Source organism: Homo sapiens, chromosome 20, assembly GCF_000001405.40.
Source record: "Homo sapiens chromosome 20, GRCh38.p14 Primary Assembly".
NCBI classification, from domain to species: domain Eukaryota; kingdom Metazoa; phylum Chordata; class Mammalia; order Primates; family Hominidae; genus Homo; species Homo sapiens.
Window position 1 is genome coordinate 85,798 of NC_000020.11, and position 11,637 is coordinate 97,434.

The window sequence follows — 11,637 nt, forward strand, 5'->3', positions numbered from 1 at the left end:
CTTTTCACTTTGTTGATTGTGTGCTTTGCTGTGCAGAAGCTTTTTAACTTGATGTGATCCCATTTGTCCATTTTTGCTTCGATTGCCTTTGTTTGTGGGTTGCTACTCAAGAAATTTTTGTCCAAACATCCTGGAGAGATTCCCCAGTTTCTTATAGTAGTTTCATAGTTTGAGATCTTAGCTTTAAGTCTTTAATCCATTTGACTTAATGTTTTGTATATGGTGAAAGACAGGGGTCTAGTTTCATTATTCTGCATATGGATATCCAGTTTTCCCAGCACCATTTTTTAAAGAGACTGTTTTTCCCCCAAAGTATGTTCTTGGCAACTTTGTCAAAAATGAGTTTACTGTAGATGTGTGGACTTGTTTCTGTGTTCTCTATTCTTTTCCATTGCTCTATGTGTCTGTTTTTATACTAGTACCATGCTGTTTTGGTTACTATAGCTTTGTAGTATAATTTGAAGTGAGGTAATGTGATTCCTCTAGTTTTGTTCTTTTTGCTTAGGATGGCTTTGGCCATCCTGCATTTTTAACCCTTTTCCCATTTTCACCCAGAATACTCGCTGGTGGCACTTGCAGCTGCAGGGTTTACCCTGAGATAACTTTGCCACAAAATATCTCGCCTTTATTATTATTTTCACATCGTTCTAATATATCGACTTTGAAAACACAAATCATCATTCTATTTATAGCATCTTGTTGTTAGCAGTGGTATTTCCATTTACAAAATATAGAAATTCTTGATCGCTGAAAATGTCAAATTCTAGAAAGCATAGCATTCCCATGTTAACATTGTTCTCAAACAGTTTTGGGCCAAAGAGTCATTTAATGAATCCGGTTTTTTCCAAAATAGATGATTCTGATTATTCAGATGATTCTGATGTTAGTTCTGTTTAAAAATAATTCCAAGAACAGTTTGTATATTTTATTTTCACACTGAACATCAGTCAGCCTCCAGAGCATGTTAATGTAAAATTAAATGAACATGGGCAGTGAGCTGCAGTTTTTTTTCTAAACAGTGCAGCTGTTTAGAAAATTTTTTTAAAATTTTCCTGATTTCCTTGGTATTAAACATATGTGGGAGAAATACAGCTCAGCAAACTCTTCCAGGAGATAAAATGCTGATCACTCCTACTGGGCAATTTCACAAATGTCTCCTATATTTTTCTCCTTTGGTAGTGGGGATGGGGGGCATAATGTTACATTGGGCCTCTCTCCTCTCTCTCTTTCTCTCTCCCTCTCCTTTTAAAATGTTTCCTCTCTCTCAATATTTCATTTCTTATTTGTATTTCTGAATGAGGGAAAAGAGTTGATGGGACAGCGGAACGGGAAAAAGAAGAGCACCAATAAAACCTGTTTTCCTGTTTTCACTATTTTCATTCCAAATTCCTTCTGTCTCATAATTGATGGAATCTTATGAACTTATTAGTTAAAAAGTGTCTTTCTTGTTTCACAGGAATTCATATCGGGGTGATCACTCAGAAGAAAAGGTGAATACCGGATGTTGTAAGCTATTGAACTGCCACAAGTGATATCTTTACACACCATTCTGCTGTCATTGGGTATGTACAAAGTGCTGCATACAGACAGAGGAGAAGGACAATTGAGCCCATCTAAAGTTAACAAAAACTTCCTCTTGGGGCTGTTTCTTTCCATCAGACCTTACAGTTCTACGGGATAATAGCTTATCTCATAAGGCCTCAGCTTTCTTTAATAATTTCTAGAAGCAGACGTTATTGTGTCATGCACACTCAGTGTTGCAAATTAATGGTCTGGTGATCTGGGTGGCATGGCATTTTCCCCTTCTCTGGTTCATCACCCATGATAGACCAGTAAAGGTGACCACTTAAATTCCTTGCTGTGCAGTGTTCTGTATTCCTCAGGACACAGAGCTTCCTCTCTCCCAGGAGCCATGAATATCCTGATGCTGACCTTCATTATCTGTGGGTTGCTAACTCGGGTGACCAAAGGTAATGGAACCCTATAAAGCAGAGATGATGACTAGGATGAGTTGTTGCCCTTGGGCTCCCCTGGTATCATGATGGGAAGAGAGGGAATCTGCAGGAAAAATCTGGGCCAACAAAGAGCAGCAGAATGCTCTTATTTTGGCAGCTCCATGCCCCTAGTCTCTGAGAATCTTTCTGTTAGGGGCATCTAGCAAGCTGGGATGTCCTCTGAGGCATTTCTCCAAAGACAAGAATTTCCTTAATGCTCTGAGCCACCCTATCTGTCTCTCTACATAACTATCCAATGTTAGTTCAGCCTCACTTCACTTCCATTTCGATTATTCTGTTGTATCTATTTCATTGTTGTGTCCTATTAGTTCTCCTACCATCTTGAATTCTTCTTTGCCCGGAGGGTACCTTCAGAGGGAGGCCCTCACTTTCATGTTCTTAGATATGGTGAACAAGTCCATTGACAGTTTGTAGATTCTGTAGCACTATCATATGGAAGAGACAATATATATGTTTGGGGTAGAAGTGGAAATAAGTGGAGTGAAGACAGGATAGACAGACTAGTGACCAATGGGGAGCTTCTAATTTTAGATGAATAGGAACAGTCTGTTTCCACTATTTAATAATGCTACTTTTGAAAATTGTTAACTTTTTATTAAAAAATAATACTTGCAATTGACTTATGTATCAAGCAATCGATGGATTTATAGGGTTTAAGGAAAAGAAAAATGTTTGTCTGTCCAAGAATACCAGTTCTTCAGTCTTCCCCTTCAGAATCAATCAATGTTACCAATTTCTTATATATCCTAGCAAATACAAATATATTTATATTTGCATGTGTATACCTTTTAGATTTTTAAAAAATGCAATTGCAAATGCACCATGTGAATTGTTCTGCAATGTACTAGCAATATATTAGAGACATCTTATCCATACATAAACCTAGTTCATTATTTTTAATCGATAAGTAAAACTTTGAGGAGGAGCAGATGAATTGCCTCACATTAATTACTCCGCTACTGATGAAAAATAGGTCTTTAATTATCAAAAACAATTCAGCAAGAAAAATTTGTAAACAAATGTATGTCTTTTCATTTATGACTGGACACGTGGACACACACACACACACACACACACACACAGTCAAACCACCTACCAGAAAAGCTGAACTATTCTTCTCTCCTATCACCAGTTGCAAGAGTGTCAGCTTCCCACACCCTCATCAGTCCTTTTTGTTTTTTCTACTACATTCAGTTTTCTACTACATTCAGTTTTACAGTCTAATATGTGAAAATGATGTCCTGATGTTTGAATTCATGACACTTTAGTTATAAATGAGTTTGAACATCCAGTCCATTAGATTTCTAAACTTTCTTAATTATCTTTATATACTAAGAAATTTGGCTTTTGTTAAATTTGGAGGTGTTATATGTTGCCTAGAAAGATGCTATTCATGTCTATTAAATGGTTATAACTGTGCCTATGATCTGTTATGTCTTGATTCACATGTTGATGTAATGTGAGTTACAGAATTAATATCTACATTCATTTCTGATTATAAACTGCTGTATTTGTTGAAAATTTGGAAATTTTGAAATTGTAAAGAAGTAAAAAAATTGTAAAGAAGTTAAAAGAGACAAAATATTTTTGATCTATTGTTCTTCCTCAGTTTTCTTATTTGAATAAAAATGTATAGCATACTTATAAATTTTCTATTATACTATTAGTATTTTCCCATTTACTATTTTCAAAAACTGTATTTCCAATGACTGTATAAATTTTATAGAATGGATACTGTTTAAATTACTTAGCCAAATTGTTTTTGCATAAATAAGTGCATTTACATTTTATAGACAAGGATGGCTAGTATAACCTTTCTTATACATAAATCATTCAGCATAAAATTCCTGGAGATGTACTTTTTTCTGTCTGCTTCATGTGTTATCAATTTTTGAATACTTGCCAAGTCCTAAAAATGAAATATTATATATAAATATTTAATTTTTATTTATGTCTGTGAGTAATGGGGAAGTCGAACTTCAAATACATGCTTAATGTATATTTAACTTTTCTACAAATTGTCTATGTCTCTCTTTCTCTTTTATTTTGGAGAGGTAGTTTTCATTTCTTTTGATTTAGAGATTTTCATTTTTGTGTTCTCTTATAGGTTTTGTTTTGAAATTTAGCTATTTAGTCTCTCTGGGCTTTATATTATGTGTTTTCAAGTGAGATAGCACCTGATGGCTTGTGAAGCAACTTTTTACCAAGCCAAGCTATCAGTGGACTGGTATCCATAGATATATTTTAAGTTGATGCTAGCTGATTATATATCTGGTATGTTTTAGAAAGAACTCCACACATGGGATAATGTTTTGGCTAGATGGCTCCCCTACTTAGAAACATACAATTGCTAGTCATATTTCTAATTTTAGGATTTCGAGATACTGGTGATGAAGATCACATGTCCTAACAACATAATAGTTCCAGACTGAAGTTCTTTGAAAAAAATGACTGTTGTCACTTTAGAAAAAAAAAATTATGAATTATTCCCAATTGCCATCATTCTACTGCTAAAACCAAATTCTTGGAATTATCTATGATTTTTCTATATCCTATGACACTCATATCTATCAGGAAGTCTATTACATCTGCCTGCAAATTATATCCAGAATGCAATTATTCTCGCCACCTCCATTGCTGCCACTCTGATTCTAGTCACCATCATCTCTCACCTGTGTTATTGCCATAGCTTCCTCATGAGATCTGTCCTTCTGCTCTTCCCTGCCACCATCTTGTGAAGACACATAGTGCATGATCCGCTTACACTGGAAGTCAGATCATGTACTTTTGCTCAAAACTCTGCTATGGCCCCCTCTATACTCAGAGCGGTAACAAGAGTCCATACAGTGGCTCACCTGGCCCTGCAGGATCTGGCCCTTATGACCTCTCTCACCTCATCTCCTACTATTATAGTCCTTGTTCACTCCACTACAGCCACACAAGCCCCAGTGCTCTTCCCCAAACATATCAGACTTACTCAACCCATAGAGCTTTGTTTGTTTCCTCTGCCTAGAATGTACTTGCCTCAGATACTGGTGTGACTAATTCCTTTACCTCCTTCAAGCTGTTTAATCATCACCTTGTTACACAGGCTTGTGCAACTCCTGTTTATGAATCTTCTATTACCCTTAAATCTATTCTCCCTTCTTTCTGCAAACCATTTGTCACCTTTTCATCTACAAAATAATGTACTTTTTTATTAAGGTAAAATATACATTTAAAAATTACCATCCTTACCATGTTTTTACCATATTTTTATGTATACCTGATGGCTGTTTGTATGTCTTCTGTTGAGAAATGTCTATTCAAATCTTTTGCCTGTTTTAAAATCAGATTATTTGTTTTTGTTTGCTATGGAGTTTTTTGAGCTCCTTATATTAATATACTTTTTGTTGTTAATTCCTCGTCAGATGGATAGCTTGCAAATATTTTCTCCTACTCTGTGGGCTACATCTTCACTTTGTTGATTATTTCCTTTGCTGTGCACAAGCTTTTTAGTTTGATGTAATCCTAATTGCCTATTTTTGCTTTGGTTGCCCGTGCTTTTGAGGTCTTACCCAAGAAATCTTTGCCAAGACCAACGTCCTGAAGTGTTTCCCTAATGTTTTTTTCAGGTAGTTCCATAGTTTCAGGTCTTAGATTTAAGTCTGTAAAACCATACAGTCTAGCAGGGAGTGCATTTACTTTTTATTATCTGTCTCCCTCTGCTAGAAAGTCAGCTCCATGTGATTTTTGTCTGTTTAGTTCACAGATGTACCTCAAGGGCCCAGGATAGTGCCTGTGCCATAGTAGGGGCCCAAAACTTTGATGACTGTGTGACTATAGCCTAATTTAAGAATGGAGGGGATAATTTAAAAGCAGTAGGAAGGAATGTAAGTGAGAAACAATTTTGAAGAATAATTGACAGAACAAGGCGATTCAAAGACAAAGGAGAAGAAGAGAGCCAAGATGACATATTTCAAGTATGGATAATGCTGGAGGAAAAAAATTAAGATATAAATCTTTGTAGATGTGAGGAACGAAGAAGCAAGGTTAGAGTCTGTCTTGCACAAAAGAAGTGGAAGGTCTAGACTTGAAACTTATAGAAAATTCCACGAAGTACAAAGTAAAATCGAGCCAGTAAAATAACAAAGATAGAATAAATGACTCTAGAGGAGTGAAGGTAGAATAAATAATTGGTGAAGCTGGACTAGAGCCAACATTTCCCAGAGGATAAAATATAAACCAAATTATTGTGAGCCTAATATATACATACATACATACATCTATATATGTTTTATATATATTATCACATTAAGTTCAAATAAGGTTGTTTAGAAAATTACTTGCTCTTCTGCACATATACCAGGCTTCCTCCTCCATAGAGCCTTATCTCTAGCTGCTTCCTCTGCCTAGAATACACTTATCTAGGTACTCCTTGGGCAATTGTCTTGAGAAAGATGATCATGCCGTTTACTGCTTGATAAATGAACATACAATGCAGCACACTAGTTTCCCTTTAGATTTATATCCTCACCCCTCAAATGAGTAGTCACACTGCTTGGAAATCCTACTGCATTTCTCTTGTAAATGAACCTTCCTTCTTTTTTTTTTTTTTTTGAGACAGAGTCTTTCTCTGTCACCAGGCTGGACTGCAGTGGCCCAATCTCGGCTCATTGCAACCGCCAACTCCCTGGTTCAAGTGATTCTCCTGCCTCAGCCTCCCGAGTAGCTGGGATCACAGGCATGTGCCACCACATCCAGCTAATTTTTATATTTTTAGTAGAGACAGGTTTTCACCAGGTTGGCCAGGATGGTCTCGATCTCCTGACCCTGTGATCCACCCTCCTCGGCTTCCCAAAGTGCTGGGATTACAGGTTTGTACCACCACACCCAGCCATCTTCCCTCTTTTTTAGACAACTATTTTGTCCTGACCTTTATTTGTCTTTTATTTTCCTGCTCCTCTCCTCTACATGGCTCTCCCCCTCAGTTTATCCCATGCCCCATTTATTTAAACAATTCAAATAGGAAGTTTTCACTCATTTCCTCTGTCCCCTTTGCCATAAATGGAGAAACGTGTCTTCTCCATCTAAAGATCAGTCTGCTCTGTGTGAATTTGTGACTATGCCCTTCTGTCATCTCATCACCCTATTCTATATTAATCTCTCCTTTTCTGCTTTTTTTTTTTTTTTTTTGAGATGGAGTCTTGCTCTTGTTGCCCAGGCTGGAATGCAGTGGCACAATCTTGGCTTACTGCAACCTTCGCCTCCCAGGTTCAAGTGATTCTCCTGCCTCAGCATCCTGAGTAGCTGGGACTACAGGTGCTCGCCACCATGCCCAGCTAATTTTTGTATTTTTTAGTAGAGACAGGGTTTCACCATGGCCAGGCTGGTCTCGAACTCCTGAACTCAGGTGATCTGCCCGCCTCGATCTCCCAAAGTGCTGGGATTACATGTGTGAGCCACTGCGCCCAGACTGCTTGTCTCTTTTCTCATTGCTTGCAAGCACCATTTGGTATTTCTCGTTCTTCAAAACAAACCTGAAAGCTTTCCCTTAACCTTACATTGCTCTCTAACAAGTTATTTATTTCTCTGCTTTTCTTTGGATCTAAACTTCTTAAGAGTTTCATCTACAGGTCCTGCATTCACTTCTCTCTCATTCACATTTTGACCAACTGCAATTTGGTTTCTTTTTTCATACCACTCGGAAGCTGCTCTCCTCAGTATGAAGTTACCTTCATACTACTAAAAGCATGGACATTTTCCTGCCTTCATCATTTTTTTTTAACCTCTCAGCAGTATTTGACTACAAAATGACCACTCTGTCCTTTAAGAAACAGTCTCCTCTCCTGCTTAATGTAGTCACATCTGATACAACTTTCCCCATAACCTTTTATGCATTTTCTGTTTTCATGCATATCAGCCCAACTTGCAATTGTCAGTATCTCCAGTCTTTCAACAACTGCTTGTGAAATACCCCTGTACAGGGCAATCCAGAAATGCCAGAAAATTATCAGCTGTCTCTGGATCATCTGTCAACTATGGGGGAAGCTGGATAAATAGTCCAGGTCCTTTGAGCCTCATGTAGAATAACTTTGAGGCTTGGTAATATTTTTTTTTTCCTGTGGTAATTCCCTTATTTGCAGTTCAAGGCTATTATGGGAAGAAAACATAAATGGATGTTAGTTCTTCAAGGTTTTTACTGTAACTGTGCACCCTTTCATTCTTCAAGGTTTTTCTGTAACACTGCACCTTCAGGACCTGATGCCCAATTAAACATTTTTTTAAGTTTTTTGGTTTTTTTTTAATAAAAACTAAATGCTATTTTTTCTTCTACTTTTAGTTGATGTGTAATAATTGTTCATATTTAGAAGATGCAGAGTGATATTTTGATACATGTATACAATGTGTAATGATCAAATCAGGGTAATTAGCATATCTATCACCTCAAACATTTGTCATTTTTTTATATTGGGAACATTCAGAATCGTCTCTTCTAGCTATTTGAAAATATACAGTAAATGATTGTTAACTACCGTCACCCTACAGTGCTATAGAACAGTGGACCCCTTTTGGCACCAGGGACCAGTTTTGTGGAAGACAGTTTTTTCGACGAGGTGAAGGTGGTGGTGGGGATGGTTTCAGGATGAAACTGTTCCACCTCAGGTCATCAGGCATTAGAGTCTCACAAGGAACACACATCCTAGATCCCTCACATGCACAGTTCACAATAGGGTTCATGCTCCTATGAGACTCTAATGCCTTGGCTGATCTGACAAGAGATGGAGCTCAGGTGGTGATGCTTGCACACCTGCTGTTCACCTTTTGCTGTGCAGCCTGGTTCCTAACAGGCCATGGACCAGTACCCATTGGCTGCCCAGGGGTTGGGGACCCCTGCTATAGGATGCTGGAACTTTTTCCTCCTATCTAGGTGTAATTTTCTATCTGTTAACCAACCTCTCTCTATCCTCCTTTCCCTTCCCAGCCTCTAGTAATCATTATTCTACAGTCTACTTCTATGAACTCAACTTTTTTAGCTCCTGCTTATGAATGAAAACATGTGGTATTTATCTTTTTGTGTCTATTTCACATAACGGAATGTAACATGTCCCCCAGGCTCATCCATGAGTCTGAGGCTTATTTGTAGCCTGGCTGCTGGGCTTCCCTGTGGGATTGTCCTCTGAGCAAACAGAACACAGCCATCCTGCTGGCCAGCAGTTGATAGATGATCTCATGATAATAACAGGTTATAACTCACCTTTTCTTGGATTTCTTGCTTTCCTGATTTCTACATTTCTCCACTGATTTTTTTTAAGGAGGAATTGTCTCTCAACTAAACTATTATATTCAAATCTTTGCTGGAGCTCTGCTCTGCTGGGGGTCTGCTTTAAGACTCTAGAGTCTTATTCTCCTGTTTTGATCTGACTTATCTTATTGGTCCTTTTAAGTCGTTTCCTCTTATCTGATCTCTTATCTCTTAATATTGAAACTCACTAGAATTTAATTCTAGTCCTCTTTTTTTCTCATATTATTCCAACCCACCATGGTTTACCAATTTCTGTACTTTAAATGCTATCCATAAGCAATCACATTTATTGATTTGCATATGTCGAACCAACCTTGCATTCCAAGGATAAAGGCTACTTGATCGTAGTGGATAAGCTTTTTGATGTGCTGCTGGATTCAGTTTGCTACTATTTTGTTCAGGATTTTTGCACTGATGTTCATCAAGGATACTGGCCTGAAATTTTTTTTTTCTTGTGTCTCTGCTAGGTTTTGGTCTCAGGATGATGCTGGCCTCATAGAATAAGTTAAAGCGGAGTCCTGCCTTCTCAATTTTGGGTGAATAGTTTCAGTAGGAATGATACCAGCTCTTCTTTGTATATCTGGTAGAATTCAGCTGTGAATCCATCTGGTCCTGGGCTTTTCATTTTCATCCTTTCTTTCTAGGTTTCGTATCAGTCTCAGTATGCTCTCTCTCTCTCCGTCCCTCTCTTTTTCTACATTTCTCCTTTTCTCCATACAACTTCTTTGATGGCACATAGCACAATTTTAATATACACTTTTTGTTCTCCTGTTTGTCTCTTACAATGGCTTTTTGTATTTGACATCATATTAGTCTAGATGTCAGTCAGTGTAAATTTTTGAATGAATGAAAAGTTGTTATGTTGATGCCAGAGTTAAAAATTTGACCTATATTTTATTCTCTACAGGTAGCTTTGAACCCCAAAAATGTTGGAAGAATAATGTAGGACATTGCAGAAGACGATGTTTAGATACTGAAAGGTACATACTTCTTTGTAGGAACAAGCTATCATGCTGCATTTCTATAATATCACATGAATATACTCGACGACCAGCATTTCCTGTGATTCACCTAGAGGATATAACATTGGATTATAGTGATGTGGACTCTTTTACTGGTTCCCCAGTATCTATGTTGAATGATCTGATAACATTTGACACAACTAAATTTGGAGAAACCATGACACCTGAGACCAATACTCCTGAGACTACTATGCCACCATCTGAGGCCACTACTCCCGAGACTACTATGCCACCATCTGAGACTGCTACTTCCGAGACTATGCCACCACCTTCTCAGACAGCTCTTACTCATAATTAATTAACATTTACTTCTGGTATGGAACAACTAGAAATACTGCTGGAAATAATATCCAAAGAGCTGATTCTACCAATCCAATTTCACCAGGAAAATTCCATCAGGGATTGGATGACCATGGGGATGGACATAATTGCTACTACCAACACAACAGCCAAGAGAGTTGCCTTACAATTAGAAATGTGTAGACAGAAATGTATAGAAGATACAAGGATTCTCTTAATTGGACTTAAATTCTTTATCTGTCTTCCTCCGATGTACTCAAATATATGAGCTAATTTTTGTCTTAAGTGAACATTTGTATATCTATGTATTTTTCCATGCCAAAAACAAAAACGAAGACCATTGTTTGGAGCTGCCTCTTATGACTAAGACAAGAATTTTTACTTTAACAGTGCCTGGCCCACTACTATCGTATATAGGAGAACATATAAAAGCATATAGAAAGTTCCAGATGAATGTTCCCTTCTCTACCCTCCACCTTTTATTGTAAGTTCTGACCCTAAATACTTTTCTGTGTCATGACGTCAAATTTTGTTTAAGGTTCTAGCTGGTAACTAACAGAGTCAGAAGCTAATTCTTTCATTCAACACAAGCACTGATCTAACTGGATAGAGATAAAAGTGGGACTTGCCTTGAGAGTACATCATATTAAATTAAAAGCTGCATCTCAAATTCTACTTATCTTTCCAATCTTCTTTCCACTTAGAATTCCAACTTCCAAGTATGGCAGCCTCATAACATGCCTCTTCAGGTCTCTGTGTTGTCCATGAATGTTAGTTGTGTGCAGTGTTTCTATGCTTTGTATGGCTGTACGCATGTGACTGCTGTTTGTATGGCAACAGGTGGGTCAGTAAGTGTCTTCTATGATACTACAGAGAAGCGGTTATTAACTATAAAGTTGATTAGGTTTTTTTTTTTTTTTGAGACAGAGTCTAGCTCTGTCGCCCAAGCTGGAGTGCAGTGGCATGATCTCGGCTCACTGCAAGCTCTGCCTCCTGGGTTAACGCCATTCTCCTG

General features: G+C 37.6%; 1 protein-coding gene across 1 annotated transcript; it reads left to right on the forward strand.

Moving 5' to 3' along the window:
- Positions 1–1,874: 1,874 nt before the first annotated feature.
- DEFB125 (defensin beta 125) lies at positions 1,875–11,297 on the forward strand. Its single transcript, NM_153325.4, has 2 exons — positions 1,875–1,970; positions 10,208–11,297. Exons 1-2 carry the CDS (start codon positions 1,913–1,915, stop codon positions 10,618–10,620), a joined length of 471 nt encoding a protein of 156 aa, NP_697020.2. The 5' UTR covers positions 1,875–1,912; the 3' UTR covers positions 10,621–11,297.
- Positions 11,298–11,637: the final 340 nt, after the last annotated feature.

Bases quoted from the DNA above. Each gene is read 5' to 3' on its own strand.
- DEFB125 (NM_153325.4), top strand. From the start codon at position 1,913: ATGAATATCCTGATGCTGACCTTCATTATCTGTGGGTTGCTAACTCGG. The intron at 1,971-10,207 runs GTAATGGAACCC...TATTCTCTACAG, and splicing joins GCTAACTCGGGTGACCAAAG to GTAGCTTTGAACCCCAAAAA.